Source organism: Homo sapiens, chromosome 15 (assembly GCF_000001405.40).
Source record: "Homo sapiens chromosome 15, GRCh38.p14 Primary Assembly".
NCBI classification, from domain to species: Eukaryota; Metazoa; Chordata; class Mammalia; order Primates; family Hominidae; genus Homo; species Homo sapiens.
In genome coordinates this window covers 80589078-80616421 of record NC_000015.10, presented here as the reverse complement: position 1 = coordinate 80616421, position 27344 = coordinate 80589078, and the positions used below count along the sequence as shown (strand labels likewise).

General features: G+C 46.3%; 1 protein-coding gene across 1 annotated transcript in view, besides 1 other annotated feature; it reads right to left on the bottom strand.

The window, feature by feature from the left end:
- Positions 591-1092: an enhancer, noted in NCBI's record as "H3K4me1 hESC enhancer chr15:80907671-80908172 (GRCh37/hg19 assembly coordinates)". NCBI's record gives its function as "activates a minimal SCP1, AML or CMV promoter by ChIP-STARR-seq in primed H9 embryonic stem cells {active_cell/tissue: H9 hESC(primed)}" and the evidence as "EXISTENCE:reporter gene assay evidence [ECO:0000049][PMID:30033119]".
- ARNT2 (aryl hydrocarbon receptor nuclear translocator 2) overlaps positions 18489-27344 on the bottom strand; it is a 193552-nt gene continuing 184696 nt past the window's right edge. The window contains exons 18-19 of the mRNA NM_014862.4: positions 24718-24854; positions 18489-22822 (exon numbers count right to left, since the gene is read on the bottom strand). Of these exons, the coding sequence (NP_055677.3) occupies positions 22724-22822; positions 24718-24854 (236 nt within the window). The 3' untranslated portion in view covers positions 18489-22723. The remainder of the gene's footprint in view (positions 22823-24717; positions 24855-27344) is intronic.

The window sequence follows — 27344 nt, the reverse complement described above, 5'->3', positions numbered from 1 at the left end:
GGTAAAGGGCAGGGCTCCGATCTGGTAGGATAAGTGTCCTTGTGAAAAAAGGAAGAGACAGCAGAGATGGATCTCTCCCTGCGCGTGCACAGAAGAAAGGTCGTGTGAGGACACAGCACTACGCAGTCTGGCCCCAAGCCAGGTAGAGAGGCTCCACACAAACCAGCCAGGCGGGCACCTTGATCCGGGACTTCCAGCCTCCAGAACTGTGAGGAAATAAGTGTCTGTTGTTTAAGCCACCCAGCCTGTGGTATTTTGTTGTGACAGCCTGAACAGACTAAGATAGCAATAAGCAGTCAGATTTGATTGGAAAACATGACCATGGAGGAGTTAGGAGGCTGGAAACACAGGCTGAGGCCAAACAGAACAATGAGTAAAAATATTTGACTGTTGCAACTCTGGAGACAATCCAAAGCCCTGGAAGGCTGGGCTAGTGAAGAAGAAGGGTGAAGGGTTGGGTGAGAGCACTGGGGCCCCGTGGTGAGGTGCTGCTGTCCCTGTGGTACATCCAGGGCACAAGGCTGAGCTGCAAGCACAATGTGCGTGGAATACGGCAAAAGGGTGCTCCTGTTCTTTCCTTCCCGCCAAGCAAGCAGGCTGGAGTAGACGCGGAGCCGCTCATTTGCCGGGGCTGTGTTGGAGGATAGGGGGCCAGTGCGGAAGCCAGAGCGGAAGAACCTCTGCTTCCCAAACCCAGAGCCCCCTGCCATGCACAGGCACACCCTCTCACACACTCTCTCCCACACACACTCACACACACACGCTCATGCACACTCTCCCTCACACATTTACACATACTCCCACACACACATACACACTCACACTCTCCCTTCACATATTCACACACACCATACACACTCCCCCACACACTCACACACTCATACGCATTCACACACACACACTCTCATACCCATTCACACTCTCTCCCCCCACATACACACACAGTTCCTCGCACACACATTCACACACGCAAGCACACACATACATTCATACACTCTCTCCCCCAACAAATGCACACACATTCTCTCACACTCTTTCTGTCTCTCAGACACACACACACACACACACTCTGTCTCACACACATTCTCCCCGTTTCTCTCTCTCTCACCCCGCCACACACACCCCTCAGGAGGCAGGCCCTTTTCTGCCGGCCCCTGGCATGAGGTGTTGTGAAGCGTGCACTTGCACCATGTTTCCTGGCAGCCCTCCACCCACTGCCCACACTATGAATCCGAATGTGGTCCTGGCGATGCGGAGAGATAGAAGGAGAAGCCGGCATGTAAGTCCTGCCTCACCTCCCTGGCATCCTGGAAAAGGCACCTCTCACTGGACACAGCTGCCTGGGCTCCGAGGGGCTGCATCCTTTGCTTTGGCTTGGTGGTCAAATTCGTGACCACGAGATTTTCTCAAAGGCTGGACGACAGATTCTGAGGGAGTATCCAGCAGTCAGTTCACTGTAGGCAGCTTGGCAAGAATGCATGACGACAGTCGGTGTAAAACGTCCTTTCCCTTTCACCTAGACACTCCCCGAGCCTAGGATATCTCTTCTAAGAAAATCCCAGAAATCAGATGTCACTCCTCAGCTCACCTCGCCTATCCTCACGCATTGAGGCACATTGCTCCATCTTTGTCATATTGATACCTTTTAATGGCTGCCAAACAGCTCCTGGTTTCTCATTGCAGCCCATTAAGAATTTACAGCCGCTCACGCCTGTAATTCCAGCACTTTGGGAGGCCAAGGCGGGTAGATCACGAGGTCAAGAGATCGAGACCATCCTGGCCAACATGGTGAAAACCCGTTTCTACTAAAAATACAAAAATTAGCTGGGCATGGTGGCCTGTGCCTGTAGTCCCAGCTGCTCAGGAGGCTGAGGCAAAAGAATCACTTGAACCTAGGAGGTGGAGGTTGCAGTGAGCTGAGATCGTGCCACTGCACTCCAGCCTAGCAACAGAGCGAGACTCTGTCAGAAAAAAAAGAACAAAAACAATTTATAGCTGCACCTCTTTGGTGTGTGACGATTCTGAGACTGAACTCCACTTAGTTCCACAGAGGGTAGAAAACTCTTATTCTTTCACTCAATTCTCCTTTAAAAGTTATGATAGCATCTTTTGGGTCAAGAGCCACCTTTGAAACTCTCCTCATTTAGCTTCCACTTTCCATCTTTCCCAAGGAGCTCTAATTTCCAGGGGCCCTAGGGGTTATCTCCTCTCACTTGGCTGTTTCCTGTCCTCGCCAGCACCTGTGGCGCTGAGGCTTGACATGCCTGGAATTGGACACCGGGAGCTGCTCTTGGCACTGATGTCTACGGTCCCCATCTTTGGTCACAAGGGCCCATGTTCCCTGGGTCATCCTTGCTGTAACCTCACGCCTTTTCCAGCCTCCAGCTATGTCAGCATTTCTGCATCTCCCTGGGTGATCGGGGACTCTTGCTGCCTCCTCAGCCCCACCCTGACATGGTTGACCTTCTGCCTGGGGGCTGAATTGCTTTGCTGTGCTTGAGAAAAGGAGACACAGCCTGACTGGTCTGCGACACCCACAAATATTTTGGGACTATATCTGCCACTGCACCCAGGGCTAGCATTCCGTGAGATGACCGCAGCATCTATGAGCATCCATACTCCTTTCTGAATGTCTTCCTGTCTGCAGGCAAAGTCTCGCTGCCGTTTTGGATGGGAAGCTCACCACGAGGTCACGGGGAAGTCTTTCTTACTCACTGGGTAGTAAAACCTCCACTCCGTCCTCCAAGTTTGGCTTTTTATTTTTGAAGTTCAGATCCTAGAATGCCTAGAAAATTCTTTTTTTTTTTTTTTTTTTTTTTGAGACAGAATCTTGCTTTGTCACCCAGGCTGGAGTGCAGTGGCACAATCTCAGCTCACTGCAACCTCCGCCTCCCAGGTTCAAGTGATTCTCCTGCCTCAGCTTCCTGAGTAGCTGGTGTTACAGGTACCTGCCACCAAGCCCAGCTATTTTTTGTATTTTTAGTAGAGACGGGGTTTCGCCATGTTGGCCAGGCTGGTCACAAACTCCTGATTTCAGGTGATCCACCCGCCTCGGCCTCCCAAAGTGCTAGGATTACAGTTGTGAGCCACCAGGCCTGGCTGAAAGTCCTTTTTAACTTTCAATAAAGGCTGGATTTTGCAAAATAGCTTGTTGTTTCTCTACCTTTTTAAAGTAATTCACATAACATTTTATTAACAATCAACTTGTTTGTGTTAGGGCCGGGGGGTCCAATCTTTTGGTTTCCCGGGCCACATTGGAAGAACTGTTTTGGGCCACACATAAAACACACTAACACTAACGATAGCTAATGAGCTAAAAAAGAATTGAAAAAATCCCCATAATGTTTTAAGAATGTTTGCGAATTTGTGTTGGGCCGCATTCAAAGCCGTCCTGGGCCGCATGCGTTCAGGTTGGACAAGCTTGCTGGAGGCTCTTTCTTCTGTCCTCTAGTGGCACCGTATGTGGAGGCTATTTCTGCTGCCTGAGTAGAGAGTGGGCAGGGAAGGATGGAATAATGAGAACGGAACATCTGTAGTTTAATATTAAAGCATTACCATATCACATAAATAAAATGGAAATGAGGAATTTTGTGCATTTTGCTTTTCCTTCTATTGAGCAATTTTTCTATCATAAATTCTCAGGTCAGGGTGAATGGGTCAGTGGGTATACATATAGGTCTGAGTGGCTTATAATCTATTCTAGTACTAAATGAAGGTCAGAAACTTGCAATGGTCTTTTCCAGGCCTCATGGGACCAATGAATGCTGCATTGCTGAGATCAATAGTGACCACTTAGTGGGGGAAGAACAGCACACACAGGTCCCATTTTTCATTCTTAGGACAGTTGTACAATGCCACAGCCTCATTCTTCAAGGCTAAGCCCAGCTGGGTGAGCACCTAAATCAGATGACTTTATTTATTTATTTAGGGTTATTTTTTAGATAGCGTCTTGCTCTGTTGCCCAGGCTGGGGTGCAGTGGCTCGATCTTGGCTCACTACAACCTCTGCCTGCTGGGTTCAAGCGATTTTCATGCCCCAATCTCCCAAGTAGCTGGGATAACGGGTGTTTGCCACCAAGCCTGGCTAATTATTTATTTATTTATTTATTTATTTATTTATTTATTTATTTAAGTAGAGACAGGGTTTTGTTACGTTGGCCAGGCTGGTCTCAAACTCCTGACCTGAAGTGATCTGCCCGCCTCGGCTTCCCAAAGTGCTGGGATTATAGGCATGAGCCACCACACCTGGCCTGGAGTCTTTAGATGTGTGCAGTGATCCTTGAACACCCTGAACACCTGCTTACACAGTAAGAAGTGGAAGGCCTGGCTCAGCAGCTCACGCCTGTAATCCCAGCGCTTTAGGAGGATGAGGTTGGAGGACTGCTTGAAGACAGGAGTTGGAGACCAGTCTGGGCAACAAAGTTGGACTCCATCTTTACAAAAAGATAAAAGAATTAGCCAGGCCTGGTGGTGCACACCTGTAGTCCCAGCTACCCAGGAAGCTGAGGTGGAAGGATTGCTTGAGCCCAGGAGTGTGAGGCTGCAGTAAGCTATGCTTGCACCACTGCAATCCAGCCTGGGTGACAGAGAGATGCTGTCTCTAAAAAAAAGTGGCCATCCGAGCCTGCCCAGCTACTAGACTGTCAGCTCTCTGCCCACTGCTGTGACCTCTTGACCTCCACCTGCAGGCTCAGCTCGGTTCCTGCCGCCATCAGGTCATCTTGCTGCTTGTTCTGCCCAAGAAGCCTGTTTCTAAAACCTAGGCATTACCTTGTGATCTAGGGCGGCAATCAAGGTCGTAACTGCTTCATGATGTCTGGGTCCTCGTCTGAATAACCTTCAGGGGACTAGTCCCCACATAAAGGGCCCCTGGCTCCTGCCTCTGCCTTGCCACTGGACTTGTACTTGTTGGGTCCCCAGTGACTCCTAAGCTCCAAAGCCACTGGACATTTTCAGGCTGGAAATTACTTTTCAGCCATGTCATCTTGTCATTTGACATTGTTGATGCTACTCCCATGATACATGTCTGTGAAAACAATTATGGTTTCCTTTTGGCTTTCTTGAGTGTTGAAAGTGAGTTCATATCACCTTGGCCAGAGGATACAAAGGAAAGAAAGAGGAAGTTGGAAGAGTGCTTTTTATTTATTTATTTGTTTATTTATTTATTTTTGATAGAGTCTCGCTCTGTTGCCCAGGCTAGAGTGCAATTTCTTGGCTTCTTTGATTTCTTTGATTGCACCAAAGTAAATTTCTTGGCTGTGTAAGGTGTTAAAAAGGAGGTGAAGGAGAGAGAAGGATGAACAGAACTTCTCTGTACATTTCCTTGCAACCTCCTGTAAAACTATAATTATTTCAAAAGAAAATGGTTTCTTTAAAAAACTAAGGCTTCAGTACAGTGTAAATGCAGTTTATTTATAAATTACAAAATGCTCTTCCTGCCGAGTATGGTGGCTCATGCCTATAATCCCAGCACTTTGGGAGGCCAAGACAGGCAGATCACCTGAGGTCAGGAGTTCAAGACCAGCCTGCCCAATATGGCAAAGCCCTATCTGTATTAAAAATACAAAATTTAGCCAGATGTGGTGGCAGGTGCCTGTAATCCCAGCTACTTGGGAGGCTGAGGCAGGAGAATCGCTTGAACCCGGGAGGCAGAGGCTGCAGTGAGCTAAGATCGTGCCACTGCACTCCAGCCTGGGTGACAGAGTGAGAGTCTGTTTAAAAAAAAAAAAAAAAATCCAACAAAATCAAAGTTGCATTTGGAAATTAAGACTTACAAATTAAGTTGAATTTGGAAATTAAGGACCCTCTTGTTCTTGTGTTTTTTTGTGAGACATCACCAGTACATACAGGCCGGGGAGGTGCATGCAGTAGAACCTTCAACTGGCAAATCCAGCATTGCCTTTTGATTGATTTCCTCACCTTCAATCAATCTACAAACACGCATTAATCAGCCGGGTGCAGTGGCTCATGCCTGTAATCCCACCACTTTGGAAGGCCAAGGTGGGCAGATCACTTGAGGCCAGGAGTTCGAGACCAGTCTGGCCAACATGGTGAAACCCCATCTCTACCAAAAATATAAAAATTAGCTGGGGTGTGGTGTCACCCGCCTGTAATCCCAGCTACTTTGGAGACTGAGGCAGGAGAATCTCTTGAACTTGGGAGGTGGAGGTTGCAGTGAGCCGAGATTATGCCACTGCACTCCAGCCTGGGCAACAGAATGAGACCCTGTCACAAAAAAACAAAGCAAAACAAAACAAAAAAAAACATGCATTAATCAATTTTTCACCCAGGAAGTTTGTCTATTCTAGGGCATTTCTAGATCACAATCTTGTCCTCTTAACAAATAGATTCCAGGCAGAAGTAAGAATGCAATATATTTTAATGCAAAACTAAAGCAAAAAAAAAAAAAAAAATGGAACAACCTCCCTAATCTTCATCACTGAACCTATTAGCCTTAAGCTGTGTGGATTCATATTTTTGAGAACATTGGATCTTTCTTTGTTTCTTTCACATAGGCCTTGTTCTTTTCTCTGCCTGAGGATTGCTGAACAAGAGTGGCAGTGTTGGTTTTAGTGATTTATGACTACTGCTTATATCCTGCCAGATTTCTTCATTGCCCCATTTCCTTAATTAAGTCATAATTCCTGCCTTTGCTTTGTCTCTTTTCCTTTTGCTTCCACAAACAACAGACCTGGGGGCAGCCTTTTTGGAAACTATCTTCCCTCCCACCTCCCATTTCGCAGTGAATCATATTCTAATCACAGAGATCAGTGCAGCTGGCCCTCAGCATCCTGAAAGCCTCCCTCTCCACTTGAGGTCCTGATTGCTTCCCCCATCTAGGGCGAGGCGTCCCCCTGAGCCTGCAATGAGGAGGGTTGAGGACACCTGTCCCGAGCCTTCCATGAGTCTTGAATCTTCTAAACCTGTGCAGTGGTGGGGTGGGGGTGGTGGCAGATGAGAGTGCCTGAAAGGAGGTTCCTAGAGAATAGCCCTGAACCTCCCACTTCATTATTGTCCTTTGGAGGTTTAAATATCATGGGCCAAGTTTTCCTTAAGCCATTCCCTCTCTGGCATTGGGGATGACCAGCTGTTTGTTGTCTCTCCCAGGTCGGCTGATTTTGCTTCCCGTCCATGTATTGTTCTAGCTCATGCAACTGTCATCTCTGCTCATCCAAAAGCTTAATCGGGAATTGGCACGTACTTTTCCTTGGCTCCCACTTCTTTAGCAAGGATGCATGTAACTGCTTCTTGCACTCCTGGATATTTGGTTTGGGCCTCCTCACTTCTGAGACAGAGCACCTGGATTCCTGTCCATCTCTGTGGAAGACTTGGCAGCTGGAACCCTCCCTCACCCCTTGTCTGTGAAGTTGGTTGAATGATGTCTGCCCTCCACCCAAATATGTCCAAGTTCTAACCCCTGGTATGTGTGAATGTGACCTTATTTAGAAAGAGAGCTTTTGCAAATGTAATTAACATCTCAATTACATTGAGCTGCAGACCAAGGCATGCTCAGGCTTGCTGGCAGCCTCCAGGTGCCAGGAAGAGGCATGGAGCCTTCAGAAGGAACCAACCTTGCCAAGATCTCGATTTCAAGCTTTTGATCTTCAGAACTGTGAGATAATTTTTGTTCTATGAAGTCACACACTTTGTAGCAATTTGTTGTGGCAGCCTGAGGAAATGAAGATGCAGGTGTATTAGGGTTCTCTAGAGGGACAGGACTGATAGGTTAGATGTATATATAAAGGGAGTTTATTAAGGAGTATTGACTCACACAATCACAAGGTGAGGTCCCACATAGGCCACCTGCAAGCTGAGGAGCAAGGAAGCCAGACTGAGTCCCCAAACCTCAAAAGTAGGGAAGCCGACAGGGTACCCTTCAGTCTGTGGCCAAAGGCCTGAGAGCCCCTGGCAAACCACTGGTATAAGTCCAAGAGTCCAAAAGCTGAAGAACTTGGAGCCCGATGTTCAAGGGCAGGAAACATCCAGCACGGGAGAAACATGGAGGCCAGAAGACTAAACCAGTCTAGTCCTTCCACATTCTTCTGCCTGCTTTTATTCTGGCTGTGCTGGCAGCTGATTTGATGGTGCCCACCGGGATTGAGGGTGGGTCTGCCTTTCCCAGTCCACTGACTCAAATGTTAATCTCCTTTGGCAACAACCTCACAGAGACACCCAGGAACAATACTTTGCCTTCTTCAATCTGATCAAGTTGACACTTGATATTAACCATCACACCAGGCTTTTTCTGAAATGGTCTCCTGACTGGGGGCACCAGCAGCAGGCTAAGCATTGGAGGTTGCACTCTTGGGGTGGCGCTCCAGGGTCTCTGCCCAGATTTCCCCTTCTCTGCTGAAGGAACCAGCTTTGAGTTTCAGCCACTCCCTCCTTCTCAGGGTTCTTATAGGTCTGATGAGGCTGCTGGGAGTCTTATGTTGGTTTTCCTCAGGGGAGAAGCAATGTTGCTCTCTTCAGAAAGTTCAGCCTCAAAGACTCAGGATTCCTTTTAATGGGTAAATCACTAGGGTGGATTCACCTTCGGTTTATGGTGTGGACTTGAGCAGAGTACATGCACTTGACTTGGCCAGGCTTTTCTGGGTCAGCGTGGAAGGGTCATTCACCACAGGCCTGGTGAGTGGAATTTGATAGAGAGGGCTCCTCAGCTTCTCACAGGATCTTTGTGAGTCTGATTTCTGGCCGTGCTTCTGCAGAAAGTCCAGGCTGAGAGGAGCTTTTCTCTCTTGCTGAGGCTTCTGGGAAACAAAATAAAATTCTTCAGAACATCTGGATCTCCTTTCCTCCTCTGAGAAGGTGGTCTCCGTTATCACTGAAATCCCCTTCAGACTTTTGTGGTCTTATAAAATCCTATCAGCTTCCTCCTCTCCAGGGCTGTGCCTTCCCAGGCAACAAATATTGGCATCCAGGGTAGGGTCACCAAATGTCCTAGTTTTCCTGGGACTGAAGCATTTCCTGGAATGTGCTACATTCACTGCCAAAACTGGGAAAGTCTAAGTATTAATAAATAGGGATGGGTTGCTCTCTCTAGTCCTTGAAAAAATTGATCTTTGAGGACAAAGTACTGTTCACATCTATAGTATGAAACATTACTAAAATATTATTTTGATTGAAAAGTGAAACTTAATTTCTTTGTATCTATAACATTGTTTTTTGTTTTTGTTTTGTTTTGTTTGTTTGTTTGTTTGAGAAGGAGTCTTGCTTTGTCACCCAGGCTGGAATGCAGTGGCATGATCTCGGCTTACTGCAACATCCACCTCCTGGGTTCAAGTGATTCTCCTGCCTCAGACTCCTGAGTAGCTGGGATTACAGGTGTGCGCCACCACATCCCACTAATTTTTGTATTTCTAGTAAAGGAGGGGTTTTGCTATGTTGGCCAGGATGGTCTGGAGTGCCCGACCTCAGGTGATCTGCCCGCCTCGGCCTCCCACAGTGCTGGGATTACAGGCATGAGCCACTGCACCCAGCCTCTATCTATAGCTTTTAAAAGCACATATGTTTTTTGTTTTTTTTTGTAAGAGAGTAATTTACATAGCAGCATTTACAAGTTCTTACTATCTATGCAGCTGCAGTTTAGTGGTTATTACAATAGTCCTGCCTGAGGCTGAGTTCTTCCGAGGTGGAATCTGAGAAAAATTGGGTAAAAGTGATTTATTTAAGGAATTCCCAGGAAAAACTGGGAGGGATGTGGAAATTCCATCTGCCACCACCTCCATCCCACAAAATTGCACAGAACATGCAATACACAAGGAGGCTCAGCTGTCACCAAACCCCAGGGAAGGCTCAGGGAGACATCTCACTCCAGGAATTGAGATTGAAAAGAAAGAAGACTAAGCAAGGCAAATAAAGTTTCTGCAGAGGGTAAATGTATCTCAATCCCACTGGGATGCTGTAGAGAAAATATGTTACAACTTAGAGATGCCCCCATCTAGGAGCAAGGAAGCTGGCATATTGATGCCCCTGCACCCAGGAGTCATTGGTAATAAGCTATTCTCTGTGGGATGTAAAATCCTAGGAACCCCTGGCTCTGCATGCTTTGGCAAAGTAGGATCCAACAGCTTAAGGACAGTCTTTCAAAAAAGGGATATGGATCCTTGTGCCTGAGCATGAAAGCAGAGGGCAGGTGTGGATGAAAATAGGCAGAGGGTCCCATGGCCTGCTGGCAGCACCATATGTCTCTCCAGCAGACGAGTAGAGTCCCGGGGACCTCTGTGGCCTGCTCAGCAAGGCTATGCTCTCTCAACCTTCCCTGTGTCCCTAACCTCCTCATTAATGTCCAAGGAGGCCCAGGTCCCTTGGATCCTGGATCTGTGGCATCTACAGAATCCTTGGGCACAAGACGCAGTGAGAACCTGCATTTCCATCTTGGCCCCGGCCACGAAGCCTGATCACCTGCCTCTCTTCCATTTTTTCTTTATCTACAGGCCATCTGCCTGAGACATGCCATGTTCCCATCAGATGACCCCAGGCATCATGCAGGGTCCACTCGGGTGACAGGAATCCGTACTTTACTCATTGCTTTTCAATTCTTCCCATCTGTCATTCATTAGGAATCCTTTTAGAACCCAAGGATTCAGGTTAGATGAGATGCCACCTCTCTCTGACTACTCCTGCCAGCCTGTCCCCTTGAAGCCTGCCAATTTTTGTCACAATGAGATGCCAACTGTGTCTCCATTCCAGCTCTCTGCTTCCTTACCATAGACTTGAAGCAAACCAGGAATGAAAATACAAGTTTGCACGCTCATAGCCAGCACAGAGTGGGGGTTCTGAGACCTATCTGAAAACTTTTCTAAAGCTGCAACCAGTCACTGTGAATTCATTATAGATAAAGACAATTGAGGAATGATGGTGCGACCCAGAGTAGGACGAATTCTTTGGAATTTATTGAACATTAATTGAGTGTCATGCACTGTACAGGGCATAAACCGATGAAGGAAAAACCTGAAGTAGCCTTCACTGAACACGTCCTCAGCATCGCACCCTGAATCATTTCTCTCTTCTTCTGTCCTGTCTCCAGGGGAGCCAGCCCATCTCTTTGTGCTAGCACCCGGGCTTGGACAAAACTCTTTCCCACCCCAATGTGACGACTAGGAAGAGAGCCTGCTGTTCTTGAATTAACACTTCATTCTGACTGCTGATAGTGAGCCTAGGATGACTCCAAGCTCCCCGGCATCTTCTTAACATCTGGGGTCCTGGTTCCTCATGGAGTTGGTAACTAGTTGGCCCTGTGTGCCCTTCCACAGGGAGCTCTCAAAACCATGCCTTTCCTAGGAGTAGGTGGGGTATGAGGGATCACGAGGGTTTCCAGGAACCCCATGTAACATCATCCCTGACATGGCTCTATTCCATGGGCCCAACGTAAACTCATTGTGGCTGCAATGAAAACATAGCTTCCACTTAAAGGAGTGGGGATTCTGCGAAAAAAACGAGTAGGCACACCTGCACTCAATGAGCCTTGTGAATGAGAAATGCTCACACTCTGATAAATCACTGTGATGAAATGTTTTCTGGCCTCATCAGCCCCAGGCCACATTTCTTTATTCTTGGCATATATGTTTGACTCTGGGTAAAATGTGTGGAAAGAATTAGTAATTTATAATTAGGAGGTTGTGGCTGTAGAACTAGAGGCAAGCTACATTCCAGGCATTTTAATCTGGTGTCCTGCTGAGAGGCTATAGCTATTTCATGACTTATAGGGGTCTCGGGCTTGGATTTGGGGGTCTGTTAAGTGATTTCTGCAAAAGCTGAGCCAACAAGCTGTGCGCCCAGTGGGTAGACTCCATCTTTGATGGGCCCCAACTGGGACCTCTTGCTTAAGTCATGCTAATCACAAACGCATGAGATACTCAGCCCTTCCTGGACTCCCCCTTCCCTCTTTTGTGTTGGTGCAGAATAGGTGACCTCTACCAAAATCCTTAGTACATTCCAGAACATCATATTGCTTGCCTCTCCCCTCAGGATGAGGCAGTCCTCATGAGTGGGACCTGGGTCGTCCCTGTGTAGCCTCAACCCCAGCACTGTTCATGGAGCAGGTGGTGGGGGCCACGCAAATGCTTACTGAGAGAACATGCTTAAAGGATTTACAGGAGAAAGAAGCTCATGATTGTCAGGCATCAACATGGTAACGGGGGGATAAGCTTATTTTTCTCAGTGGAAAAATAAGTTCTCTCTGGGAGTGGAGGCTGAGAGGGGAGTAAAGTCTAGGTGGTATCATGAGAATGAGTGCTGGTTCTTCCAGCGGCTTTGTTCCACTCCCTGAATTCTGAGCAGACACAGTGCTTCCCTCACCCCTGCTCTTGACCCCTCTCACCTCTCCTTACTCACTTGTCCCAATCATCAATAAGAGTGAATTGGGGCCAAGTGTGGTGGCTCGTACTTGTAATCACAGTACTTTAGGAGGCCAAGGCAGGAGGATCACCTGAGCCCAGGAGGTCGAGGCTGCGGTGAGCTGTGATTGTGCTACTGCAATCTAGCCTGGGCAACAGAGGGAGACCATGGCTCCAAAACAAAAAAGATGCCAGGCACAGTGGCTTATGCCTGCAATCCCAGCACTTTGGGAGGCTAGGCGGGTGGATCTCCTAAGGTCAGGAGTTCAAGACCAGCCTGGCCACCATGATGAACCCACATCTCTACTAAACAAATATAAAAATTAGCTGAGCGTGGTGGTGAACACCTGTAATCCCAGCTACTCAGGAGGCTGAGGCAGGAGAATTGCTTGAACCCGGGAGGAGGAGGTTGCAGTAAGCTGAGATCGCACCACTGCACTCCAGCCTGGGCAGCAGAGTGAGACTCTGTCAGAAAAAGAAAAAGAGCGAATTGGAATACAGTATTATTGTTCTTCATACTTTTCTATACCCTTCACTTTAAAAACAATGAATGTATATCATCAGAAAAATCAGAAAAATAATTATATTGTTCCATCTATGTAAAGGGTATATTTTTGTTAGCTGTTTATTTTGAGGATTGAAAGAGGGACTACAGGTAAAGCACCAGCCTAGGTCATGGCAGGTCCTTTGGCCTTCATTCAGTACTTCTTCTCCTCATCGTGCCCTGCAGTCCACTCAGCTTCCCATCTGCCACAGGTGTGTCCAGCTAGAGTGCATTCTACCATTGCACACAGGTGTCCTTCTCTTTCCCACTCCTTGGCATCAAAATTCCATAGTGGTTCAAGATTTCAAGTTACTGTGGGTGATCATTTATTCTCTTCTTATTCTGGCAGGCAATTTGCTTTAGATTACTTTTAATGATTTTATAAGTAATATATATTCTTTGTAGAACAAGTCATATTAAAAGTTACAAGGATGGAAGGGAACTTCACCTCAGATCCCATTAGGTTGAGACCATCATGAGGGGATTTTCATCCATCTGTTATACATATAAAGGCATATGCCTTTTTTTCTTGGAGAAATACACAAGATAAATGAATAAATGCATATGTAAATAATTTCACGTAAATGCAATGTTATTATACGTAACACATTTATTTTAAGTTTTGCTTACTTTCTCTGCTTCTACAATCCCTCCAAATACAGCTTATTAATGTGAATATGGTATTTTATACATTTTTTTTTTCTGAGACAAGGTGTCATTCTGTCACCTAGACTCTAGAGTGCTGTGGCATGATTATGGCTTATTGCAGCCTCAAACTCCAGGGCTCAAGTGATCCTCCTACCTCAACCTCCTGAGTAGCTAAGATTACTAGGTATGTGCCACCACACCTGGCTAATTAATTTTTTTTTTTTTTGTAGAGACAGGGTCTTGCAATGTTGCCCAGGCTGAATACTTTATACATTTTCTACATGTACATATGTATGTATATATACAACCATGTACTCACACATGAACCTAACTAATGTGCTTTTGGTCATGTTTGCTTTATCAACATAGATTAATTTCATTTATAATTTTCTGATTATTTATTTTATTTATTAATATATTGAAATAATGCTATCTGATAGTTCATGAAGTAGGTATTCTCCAATGTATTCATCCATTCTTCTATCAGTGAGCTTTGCCTTAATTTACAGTTTTCCACCCCTACAAAATAAGGTGGCAATAAATATTTCTATAAATATATCTGTATTCAACATTCTTATTTCGCTAAGACAGATTATTAGAGATGGGATAGTTGAGTCAAAGATACAGTTTTATTTAATAGATATTGTCACGTCACTCTCAAAATGAATTGCAAAAATTTCTATTTTTACCAAAAATAACTAAGACAATCCTTTCACATTCATTCCCACTTTTGCCAGTCCATTGGGGTGAAAAATGTCATGCCATTGTTACTTTAATTTGCATTTCTTTGACTAGTTGTGAGATTTAAGTGTCTGCTTTCTGAGTTCTGTTTAATTATTAAATATTTCCATTATACATCATTTTGAGAAAAGTATTATAGAATTTTACGTGCTCATTACCGAAATGAAACAGCTGTTTAACATTTTGCCATAATTGCCTCAGCTACTTTTCTGTTCCTTTTTAGTCAATACCTCTTTTTTTTTCTCTTTCTTAATCTGTTTTAAGGAATTGAATCATACAAGTCATTCTATGTCTTTCTTCTAAGGATAAACATTATCCAGAATTGTTTTTAGCATCAATGAGGTTATTTTTCTTTTCTTTCTTTGACCAATTATCTATTTATTTACAAAATATGTTAATATGTTGAGTTATAAAAATATGCACAGCAGTTAAATTCAATGTTATATTTTTAGAATTTTTGCATCTGCAACAAGGTATTTAAGTGCTGCGATATATTCCTTTGTGTACCTAAATCACAATTTATTCATTTCTCTACTAAAGGATAGATTATTTTCTTCCACTTTTTCACTCTTACACACAGAGCAATAAATATCTTTTTATCTGTCTTCTTGTGTATATGTGAGACGTTTTGTAGAACAGACAGTTGGAATTAGAATCACTGTCATGGGTTTGTACATCTTTGACATTCCAATATGCTGTTGGAAAAATGGTACTGATAAATGTCATCTTTTTCAGAGCAAGTATGCTATTTTCCACTAGCTAGGAAATAGAATTCCTGTCTCCCCATATCCTCAGTAACAATCATGTTATCAGACGTAGTAAATCTGAGCGACATAAGCATTTATTTTGTTTTAATTTTGCCTTTCCCTTAATTACAATGAAGTTCAGCGTCTTCTAATAGATTTAATGCCATCTGATTTTCTATGAACTCACAACTCAAATTCTTTGACCATTTTTCTATTGAGTTCTATTTTTTTAAATTGACTTTTAGGAATCTTTCATTTATTCTGAATACTACATTTTTGGGTATACAAATTGCAAATATTTTCTACCAGTTAATGGACTGTTACATTTTTTGAGGCTGATTTTTTAAATTGAGTTAAACTTTATCAATATTTTACTTCATTGTTTGTTGTCTTTGTGCCGGGTTTAAGAAATCCTTCCAAGACTTGATTTTTAAAATATATTCTCCTAGATTTTTTCTAAATGTTTTACATATATTGCCTTTAGCCTTGCGATGTTTTCATCTGTGTAGAGTTTATTTTTTCTATAGGGTGTGAGATGAGAGTATGAAGATTTCTTTTCCTACATTCTTTCCTCGAGCACCATCTATTGGAAGTCTAGCTGGTCCCTGTGATTTGTAATGCTGACTCTTCCAAGCTTCTTTCTGAATGTCTGTGGATTTCTAGGTTCTTTGTTGTGTTCTGTGATCTACTTTTCCATCTCCATGCTAACCTTACACTTTTTTTTTTTTTTTAGAGAAAGGGGGTCTCACTCTGTCACTCAGTCAGGAGTGCAGTGGTGTGATCATAGCTCACTGTAGCCTCGAACTCCTGGGCTCAAGCCATTCATCTCTTTTTTGTAGGGATGGGGCCTCACCATGATGTTGGTTTTGAACTCCTGGGCTCAAGGGATCCTTACCTCTCAGCTTCCCAAAGTGCTGGGATTAGAGGTGTGAGCCACCATGCCTGGCCCAACCCCACACTTCTAATGATAAAGCTTCCCACTGTCCGGTGGGATAAAGGCTGGCTCTTTTTTCTCCTTTTCTTCCTCTTTCTCCCTCTTTCTTTTCTTTTTTAGATCTTATTCAACAAAATTTACTGCCTATCATTTTTTCTTCCATAGGAAATTTGAAATCAACTTGACAAATTCCACAAGAAACTGCTGTGATTATTTTTACATCAACTTTATTTAGAGACAACCTATGCACAACAGAATTTAATGTACCCATCTTAAATGAAGGGTTTGATGAGTTTTGTGATTTGTATACACCTTTGTGACCATCACACAAGAAAGATATAGAACCTTTTCATCATCTCACAAACTTCCCTTGTGCCTCCTCCCACTTACTCCTCCGGCCAGCAACCAACGATCTGCTTTCTGATTGGATAAGTCTTATCTAGAGTTTCATATAAGTGCAATCATTGTGTATGTTTGTGCCTGGCATTTTTTGCTCTGCATAATGTTTTCGAGCTCTGTTTATGCTGTTGATTGTATCTGTGCTTTGTTCCTTTTTATTGCTGGGTAGTATTCCACTGTGTGGTGGTACCACAATTTGTTTATCCACTCACCTACTGATGGACATTTAGGTTGTTTTTCCCTCATGGCTATTACATATGAAACTGCAATGAATATTCCTATTCAAGTCTTTGTTTGGAAATATGTTTTTATTTCTCCTGGGCAAATAGCTAGGTATGAAAAAGCTAGGTCATAAGATGAGTGGATGATTAACTTCCTAAGAAACTGTTACTCAAAGTGGCTGTACCATTTTGCCTTTATGAGGGTTCTAGTTGCTCCATATCCTGGGCAACACTTGCTATCATCAGTCTTTTTACATTTTAGCCAAATATTAGAGTCACTGTATATTTTATTTTCCATTTCCTTGATGACTAATGATGGTAATCAGTTTTTTCCACATGCTTATTTGCCATCTGTATATTTTCTGTGGTGACGTGCCTGTTCAGATTTTTTGCCTGTTTTGTACTGAGTCATTTGTTTTATTCCATTGTAAGAGTTCTTCACATATTCTAGGTACTAGTCCTTTGTCAGATACATGACTTGTGAATGTTTTCTCCCATCAGTGGCTTATCTTTTCATGCTCTTAGCAGTGTCTTTTGAAAAGCAAATGCCTTTAATATTTATGTAGTCTAATTTGTCAATTTATTCTTTGATGGATCATGCTTTTGGTGTAGTATCTAAGAAGTCTATATTTAACTCAGGGTCACAGAATTTTATGTATACTTTAAATACGTGCAGTCTACTTTATGTCAATAATAGATCAATAAAGCTGTAAAAACTAGCAATGCTAGGTGTTTGATGGAAGAGTTTTAAAACAATTTTAGTCTGCCATTTTGCTAGAATCCAAAAAGTTCTCTTTTGGCAGAGGAACAATAGAATTTGTAAGTACAGTTGACCCTTGAACATCATGGGGGTTAGGGACGCCTACTCTTCATGCAGTTGAAAGTCCATGTATAAATTTTGACTCCCCTAAAACTTAACAACTAATAATCTACCGTTGACCAGAATATAGATAACATAAAACAGTTAATTAACACATATTTTAGATGTGTTATATACTGTATTCTTACAGTTAAGTAAGCTAGAGAAAAGAAAATGTTAAGAAAATCATAAGGAAGAGACAGTATATTTACTATTCATTAAGTGGAAGTGGCTCTTCACAAAGGTCTCCATCCTTGTCATCTTCACGTTGAGTAGGCTGAGGAGGAGGAGGAAGAGGAGGTCTTCCTGTCTCAGGGCTGGCAGAGGTGGATGGAAGAAAATCCACGTGTAAGTGGACCTACACAGTTCAAACCCATGTTGTTCAAGAGTCAATTGTATTTACTAGAGGCATCAGCATATTAAAACACTAACAATTTTGTAAGGATTAAAAAATAATAAGAAGAATGTTTGAATAGGACAATATATACAGGGTTTTGGACTGAGACCTGAGTTCAATATCCTGGTTCTGCCATTTCCTTCCTGTATTTTCTTAACTTCTCTGAGTTCCAGTTTCTCCATCTGTAAACCAGGGAGAGTAACCACATATCAGATTTGTATTAACAAAAATAGCATTTGTAAGGAAGCTTCTAGAGAGCCTTGCCTAACACAGACGGTCAAGAATTGTGTTTCCTTTTATTATTTGTTTATTTATTTTCTGTTGGTTCTAATGCAATATGACTGATATGCTAGCTTCCTTTGTTTGTTTTGTTTTGAGACAGGGTCTTGCTTTGTTGCTCAAGCTGTTCTCAAACCCCTGGGCTCCAGTGATCTTCCCACCTCAGCCTCCCAAAGTGCTGGGATTACAGGCCTGAGCCACTGTGCCCAGCCCTAGTTTCCTTTTCTATCCTAAGAAGCTAAACCTCCAAAAGGGTCACTCTTTAGTATAATGTACGCCACATCCTTTACAGATTATGACACAATACAGCCCATAGGAGGGAGTGTAATGCAAAGGGCAGGTTTCAAGGATGGTTCAATTACAAACTTGGCCTGGGCCATTTGTTGTTCAGAGCAAAGTCATTTTTATTGTAATGAAATTTTAAAAGGCAGTTACATTAGTTACACATATACACAACCGACTTAATAACTGTTAGTCATAGAGAACATTCAAGAAATACAAATGATTTATCCACAGCACAGTTCACATCCATAAGAAGAAAGAGAAATGGTTAAGTACTTAAACTGTCCACTGACACCTGCTTATGAAATCTTTTCCTTTCTTTCTTTTTTTAAAGGAAACTGAGATTGTTAGATGAAGCAAGCCGTCCTGCTCCCGCACAGCCTGTGAAACCTCCATTTTGCCACTTTCAAGGTCAGTGCCCCACAGACCCTGGCCTGTTGTTGACCATAACACTAGCTTTGGCCACAAAAGCCAGGGACACCTACGCTTGGAAATGTGCCTGCACCACTGTGTGGTGCCTCCTTAAGTTGCCCCAGACTCCAGATGGTCAAAGAAAAGGTGAATGTCCAGGTGGCTCATGGCTCCTTAGTATGGGGTGTTTGGTGGGGAATGACCCCGGCAGGTTAGGAGACAGCGACTTAGGCCAAGCCCATATTTTCTGGTAATATAAAGGACACTTCTATTCTGACTTGTTATTCCTAGAGCTGTTCCGGTCACTGGCTTCTTCCTGTTTATGTGGTAGGTCAGAACCGTGACGGAGCAAGGTGAGCGTTCACATTCTCGCATAGCTTATGGGCTGCCTAAAGTGCTGCCGGGAGTGGGGAGACCACCATTCATTCCCTGGGACTGGTTTCTTTCTCGGCTAAAGCTAGAAGGACACTGATGTTTGCATGTGTGGCTAATCTGGAGAACATGTAGTCACATTGTTGACACGGAAGAGTAAAGCTCCCCAGTGTAAGTTCCTTAACAACCAGAATCCCCCCACTCTCTGCAACATTCACGTCTCATGAAATAACAACAGTGTAGAATCTGGTATGTTGGAGAGTAGAGCAGAATGTGGCTATTTGTGATGGCTGTCACTCCCTGAAGCCAAAGCTAAAAATAAAACTGGGGGGAGTGACGCATGGACAGAGTGTTCTAGAGCCATCCTTGGCCATCCTGTTGCCATCACTGACCCAGTCCTGATGGAGCCTTACTGTGGCTGCATCTGTGTCCTTGCTGCCGGCCCGGGTTGTCACTGTACAGACCTCTTCAGTGGGGAGCTGTCTGCTTGCCTGACCTAAGGAAAGCCAGTTGAAAGTCCAGTAGTTCAAACAAGGTGTGAGCGAGGAAGTGAGTCACAGAGTCAAACAAAGTCACAAGTGCCTCTCCCCTTTCTAATCCAGCTTTGAGCCCGTCTCCAGTCAGAGAGGTATCTGCTGGGCATGGGCTGAAGGACAAGCAGACCACAGGGGCCATGAGCATTCCGGCCTCCAAGGCTGGGCGGTACTGGCATGGGAGGCTCTTTTGCAAACCAGGATAATTAAATCCTCTGGGGCTTTAATTCTTACTCCAGTTTGTCTTGAAAATCCTTGGTGAAAACCCCTGGGGCATGTGCGATTCTCCCAGTCCTGGGCTTCTCCCCCTCCATCACCCCTATTTTCTTATTGACCCCATGACGGCTTTTACAAATCATAAGCAAAAACTGCAGTCAGACTCTACTCAGATTTCCCGCCTATGCTCCTAGGACAGAGCTGGAAGGGAAGGAGGCTGGGCCTATTTAGTCATAATGCCTCCCCATCAGGTCTAGCTTTCATTCATCCATGAATCCTCACCCAAGGGCCAAGAACTGAGTTCACTGCACCCTGGACCCCTGTTGAGGTAGGAGAAGTAGACGTTGGGAGCAAGGATCCTCTCCTAATTTTGTTGCATCCCCTCAGTGCCCAGCACAGCTCCGGATACAGGGCAGGTTCACAGTCAGCGTGTTCACCTGGGTCTGTGTATGCACCTAAGAAAAGCCTCAACTCTCCTCCAAGAAACAGAAGAGGCAAAACAAACATAAGACCCCCCAAACTTCCAAACTCACAAGCTAAAGGCTATAAAAAGACTGTTTTCATTTCACTGAGAAACACTTCTTTGATCCAAAACCTATTTTTGTGCCTTTTTTGGGGGGAAATAATTATGCCCAAGGCCTGGGGCAAGCTCAAGCCTGCTGGAGGCAGAGGTGGCCCCAAGGGCAGGGCAGGCAGAGAAAGGCCCATTCTGGGGCTGGCCCTGGGAGGATGTGCAGGGTTTCAACCACCTGCCATTTCCCCAGAAGCAAGAAAGCCTCTGAGGTTGGAGTGAACACTGCATGCATCTACAGTGGAGACCCAATCACCATTACAGACAAAAAGCTCTAGAAACTGCAAAGTTGGGGTTAAGTTAGAGTCTAGGAACTGCAGTCATGCACAGCTGGCGACCAGCCAAAGGCATTTTACTGAGCAATGTTTGACTTTTGTAGGTCCCCCAGCAACATTGAGCACATGGATCTCCCTGGCCAGACAGGGCTGGGGTTTAATGTGGAGCTTTCAATGGATCACAGCAAACACTCTCTCCAAACTCCTTCCTGCATGCTGGCCTCACTCCACTCTCAGGTTCCTAGAACCAATGCCACTCTTCTAGGTCCTGCAGAATCCATGGGCAGGGATGCACGGGTTGTTTCTGAGCAAGCAGCATCTGCGAGGGCCTACCTGAAGGACTCTGGGAGGGACACAAGGGCTTTCCCAGAGGGTAGGTCCCTCCATGTGCCCTGCAGCAGCCACGGTACCTTTTCTACCATATGGGAGTCAGTGGGCTGATGGGCTGGTGATAAGAAACAGGGAGGGGGCGTAATGGTCACAAAAGGAAGGAAACACAAGAGGCCGAAGGAGTCCTCACTAGTGTAAGGGGTGTGGGAGAAGGCAGAGGTCCCTGAAAACAGGGGGATGGATTCATAAACTCTCCTCAAATCCAAGAGAAGCACAGCAAGCCAGGGATCATGGGCTCAGAGGTCAGCCAGGCAGAAGATTCTAGAGTCAGCTCTTGTTCTTGTCTTGAGACCACCAGAGAAATTCAAGGCCGGTGGGTGTGTGGCAGAACCAGAACTGGAACCCATGTCTTCTGCCCCTGAGACCTGCACTCTGTGCCTCCCAGAGCTGCTGTTCCTCCAGTCGGGCTGAAGAACGAAGGCTCAGGTGGCCTGGAAGAAAGTGTTTCATGGTGCCCATGTGAGAAGGCCTGGGCGTCCTACCCTGCTATCTACATCTGTAAAGAAGGGCCAGGCCTCTGACCTCAAGGCGTGCTGTCCTGCAGGCTCTGGGCAGGCACAAGGTCCTCCTCTCACCAGTGGGGCAAGGATGAGACATGCTTATGTGGGATCAGGAACACAGCTATTCAGATCCAATTGGGAGGAGGGTGAGTGCTCCCTTGGGGCTCCTGTGGGAGGAAGGAGCTGCTTCCTCTAAGAGGAGGAGCTTGAATCTGCACCAGAGGCTTGGACCAAAGAACTGACCTACCCATGTGAGCATGCCCCTAGCTGTGCCTCCTGGTGACCCTGCCGAAGTGTCAGCCTGTTAGCCCAGCTCCCAGACCCTGGGCCGAGCAACCTCTGGTCATGGCCGGTGGTGCTGAGCTTGGGGACAGGGCCACACATTTTGGCTCTCTACATACTCTGGATTCTATACAATCACGCTGGCCACACATGACAGACACAAGGCACAACACATCCATTAGGACAGCAAGTCCATGTCACACTGCACAAATTACATATGTCCCACGGCACAGTGGATGCACAGACAGACCAGCGGAGCTGAGGGGCAGGCGCCTCTGTGTCTCTGTGCTTCTTGGCTCCAGCTGGCAGAACGAGGGCTGTGCACTCTGCTTGCCCATTTTCCCAGCATTCCCCCAGAGCCCCATGCATCCATCAGAAGTGAAATCAAGAAGAAATCTGCTTTCAGCATCCTGGGCAGGCCTGCTGGTGCTGCTTGGTCACTCTGGGCATTGGCTGAACTTTCATGGGTATAAATTGTCTATCAAGAGATTATTCACAACCAAACTTAAGGACCCACTAGGCTCACCTCCTGAGCACACACAGATAAAATACAATAAATACAACTGATCCCCTAATGTCTGCCAGGGCCCCTGGTCAGTGGCCGAGCAGCCGCGGCTGCAGGGGAGAGTGGAGCAATGATGCGCCTGGGGACACACAGCGGGGGAGATGGCTTCTGGTGGGGGGCCTGCGGCAGGGCAAGCAGGGCGAGGGTGGGCCTCATTCACATGGGCATCGACATCACAGTATGGGTGGCACTGTACAGCAGGAGCCTCACTCTGGCCGCAGCTACTCAGAAAACGGTGGAAACATGCCCAGGTCGGCAAAGTCTTCGATGTTATAGTTGCCAGTCCCCTGGGTTGGATCTCCTGGCATGGGCAGCATGTCCTGCAGAGGAGAGGAAAAGAGAGCCACAGGGGAGTCAGCTCCTCTGTCCGTGCACTGGGCATGTCCCAGGAGCCCAGTCTGCACTCACCCTCATGGCCATCCCTAAAGGGGCAGCCCAGAGGTCCTCCCCAGCCTTCTGCGGGATGCTCTGCAAGGGTCCTCAAATGTCTGAGACCCGGGGAAACTGTTCTCCCCAGGGAGCTGTTGTGACAGCAGGTAAACGGCATTAGGACATGCCCTTTGTCTATCTAAGGTTGAGTCAGGGACCCAGGGTAGACGAGAACCCCACTGGCGGGGAGACCCCAGGCTGGCCCCAAGCAAGGTGCACCTAACAGATAGCAGATGGCCAAAATATAAGAGAAATGCAACGCAGAGTGGAGTGGAAGGAAGATGTATGTGGAGACCTGGCTGGCCTGTCTTCCATGTTTATCTTAGCGCAGGGACGAATCCCTGAATGGTTAGATTTCAGTTTCAACATGTCTTTCCAGTCCTCTGGGCCTCAGATGACCCATCCAGAAAACGGGAATAGCACTATTTTAGTTTCTTACAGCCAATTCCCCAACATGTGTTCTGTTGAATTCTCAGCCCATGTGATACTCTGTGAGAAAAGAATTCTGTGGACAAATAAGTTTGGGAAACAAGGCACACTTTGCCTACCTCCTAGAAATCCAGTCCTTATTGGTGTAATAAAAGCTCTGATACGTCCTGCAATAAAGAAACTCAATAACTTTGTTTAACCAGTTTTTCGTAAGCTTATTTGGCCAAGAATTCTTTTTAGCATCGTGACCATGAAGATCCATGTCAGGAAATTCTGCCTTACAGGGTTGCTGTGGGGCCTCAGAATGGGCAAGGAACAAGGCCTTACAGAAGGAGGAAGGAGGAGATGGCTGCAGTCAGGGGAGGCAGGCGAAGGCCTGGGTGAGCCGTTCCCCTGTACATTCACAGAATGCTGCCCTGAGTGACATCTGAGTCCCAGGCCTTTGTCTGTGAAGACACAGCTGACCCCGGCAGGAGAGGGGCTTGGGATGAGGGTGGGGTATATGGAGCACTGATTCTTGAGAAGGAGGGGTTGCAATCCTGGGAGTCTCAGAACCCTCCCACGATGTGGTTCCTGCCCCTATCATTGCTTTGCAGGGCAGGCCTGGGGCATGCAGGACGTGCCTGGGTTCCTGTTAGAAGGACCTGGAGGGATGGCTGAAGGGGAGTTAATGGGCTCGTACCTCCATTTGAAGCCTTCCAGTAGGAATGTTTCTGGCTGAAAGTTGAGCCAAGGAAGCCCACAAAGGGCAGGGGCCTGCTCTGTGGGGCTGCAGCAGTGCCATCCCCAGCCACACAGTCTGCCTTAGACACGAGGGATGGTCTAGAAAGGTCTCAAATAATGGAGAGTTTCAAGGTGCCCAGGTATCCTCAATCGGGGACTCTCCCTGAGCTTAACCACAGAGGAGAGCAGAGCCAGGGCAAGGCTGGCACTGAGCAAGGGCCTGGGTGGGGATGTCCTCCACATCCTGGGGGCTACGGTGGGAAGAAAGAGGGTCAGCCAGTGACAGACAGCCAAGCCTGGGGGTGCCTGCAGCTCTTAGGAGAGACCCCCTTTGGCCTTGGTTTTGTGCCTCTACCCTGGATAGCTCTGGAGTCTGGGAAGCATCTCCAACTGCAGCCTCCTCTATTGTGTGGCTTAGCTCGAAGGCTACATCAGCCCCTTCTCCTTCCCACATGCACCTGACGTTTCTGGCTGGGTAGGATGGGGCTTTCTACTCCTGGACTCCCTCGAGCCCAGGCTGGGCCAGAACTCACGACGGCTATCGGGCAGGCGGTGGTGCGGCAGAGACCGAGGGGGAAAGGAAGCAGAGAGAAGGCGCCGGTACCTACGAGAAGGCGGTGCTCGCTCGATTTACCTGGAACACTTCAGTCTGACCGGGCTGCTGGTGGGAGTGCTGCTCACCGCTCTGCTGGCCATGGTGCTGGCTTTGCCACTGCGACCAGACTTCCGAGGGCCGCCCTTGGAACTGCCCGCTACTTTGTCCACTTTCAGCTGAAAGATTCGACACACAGGACACTTCCTTTAAAAGCCATCCCGTGGTTCTGTGAGACCTAAGAACCACTGCGGCTGGAGGGCCTCCCGCTTCTGAAAGGCACGTTCCATCCAGAGCTGGCGGAATGTGTTTGCTATCCTCGTCTTTCTCACTGGCTGACAGATCATAAATGGAGTGGATAAGAGACACAGGAGCCCTTTGCCCAATGGTGCAGGTACTTGGCCAGAGAGGATGGCTCTTCCTGAGGTCACCTGCCAGGTGACTAGGTGCTTTAAGCCTTGGAGTGCTCCTTGCACTTGGTGACTGTGCACAAAGGCCTCCTGCGGGCATCTGGGGGGCAAGGGGCATATCTGTTGCATGCAGAGTGTGGGCTGAGAGAGGGTCTGTCCTCAGCAGTATGGTGTTGGCATGAGGAGGAAGACACACCTGCCCCTGCTCCTGATTCCCTCTCGGTCCACCGAATGCTCTTGAAAGGCATCTGGCCCTGCTAGAGGAAAAGCCTCATCTTGGCATTCCCAACCTCAGCCTCTGCCCCCGAGCAACTCCTCGGAAGCCACACACGCATTATACAAGGTCCCCCTACAGGGCCAAGCACCACAGTCTTTTCCTGCCTGGCTCTTTGGCAGAGTGTTTTCTTTGCGTCAGTTTGTTTGCAGGGGAAGAAATTTGGGCACTGGTCAGACAAGATAAGGTTCCTCTGTGGGAATCAGCAAATTCATTTATAAATGAGAGCCACTTTGCTTCTGTCTACAGTTTATACAAAAAAACAGCCAATGGAAGAAAACAAAAAATAGGAAACATAAGTGGAATTGGTTTTTTACATACGAGAAAGAGTCTTATTCCACTGCCCTGGCTGGAATGCAGTGGTGCAATCATGGCTCACTTCAGCCTTGAAATCCTGGGCTCAACCAATCCTCCAGCCTCAGCCTCCCTCATAGCTGGGACTACAGGCTCATGCCACATTGCCTGACTAATTAAAAAACATTTTTTTTTTAGAGATGGGGTCTGGCTCTGTTGCCCAGGTTGGTCTCAAACTCCTGGCCTCATGCAGTCCCCCTGCTCTGGCCTCCCAAAGTGCTGGGATGAGTGAGCCACTGTGCCTATCCAGTAAGTGGTTTTTTGTCGAAAAACATTTTTGAGATTCAACCAAAGAGGATCCAGTAAGTGGAATTTTGTCTAAAAACGTTTTTGAGATTCAACCAAAGAGGAGGCTTAAAAAAATACCTTCAGAGAAGATACCTTTAAGGAACATCAAAAATCTTAGAAGCTTTTTTTCTTGTTTCAAATCATTCAGTACCATTTTGGAGATAATGGGCTCTCTGTCAAGCTCTGGGTGGCAAGAGAAGCCCCATCTTGTCCCATACTACTCTTTCCAACGATCATGCTGGCCACGGGGAAGCCTCAGGCCCCACCCAACCCCCAGCCTGGGCACTGCGTTAATGTGAGGCCAGGTTAGAAAGTGTTCAGGGAGAAGAATCTCTCTCTCTCCCTCGCTCTCTCTCCCACCCATCCACCCATATATAATGCCTGAGACATAAAGGGCTTTAATAAAATGCATAAGGTCCCTTTAATGCCTTACCATTGGTGCTTTTCAAACTCTACATGATGACAATAGTTGGTAAGGAATTCTATAAAATTGAGGCAGGGTACATTCCCCTCCTTAGCATAAGAGAGATTTAAATCTACTGTGCACATAGGATTCTGCTATAAAAAATTCATCTGCCTATGTGAAATGTCTTTTCCTAATGATCCCACACAAGACCCCAAGGGCCAGGAGGAACTCTTTCATAGAATCGTGTCGACTGGCCTCATTAATTGGCTTAGCAGAGGGAAGGCTGGGTCCACAACTGTGGCAAAGTTAAAACAGTAGCATCGCCAGCTGGAGCTACGAGGAAATTCCCACCTGACAGGCACCTGTCCCATTCTGGAAGCCTGCAGAGGCTGAGCACAAGATGGGGCCTTCAGTGGGTCCATGTTGCTTGGCAGAAGGGTGGAGGGACATAGCCACCTGTGCTGAAGGAAGGGCATGGTAGACTGGGGGAATGTCCTTATGCATTCAGGAAGATGACTGCCACACAGGCTCACCCAGGATGCTGCTGCAATGATGGTTTCCTTGGGGCTTGCCCATCACAAATCAATGCCCTCAGCCCTTCCTCCTTAAAGTACATACCTACCTCTCCTTCCCTTTGCCATCAACATTTACAGCCACCCCCACCCCACAGCATCTTCTCCTTTCCCTCCCTTCTCAACCCTGTGCAATTACTCTACTGCCAGGCCCCATCCAATAGGCATTTGAAGAGTGCCCATTCTTCTCAATCTCTCTTGAGTATCCAACACTCTTGATCATTCTGTTTGAAACTATCTTGTTGACTTCTAGGACTGAACTTGATTTTGGTTCTGCTACTTCTTACACTACTCTTTCTCACGTGCCTCCTGGTCCTTACTGTAAGTGACCTTATCTCTTAACATATGTTGAAAGCAGGGGTCTG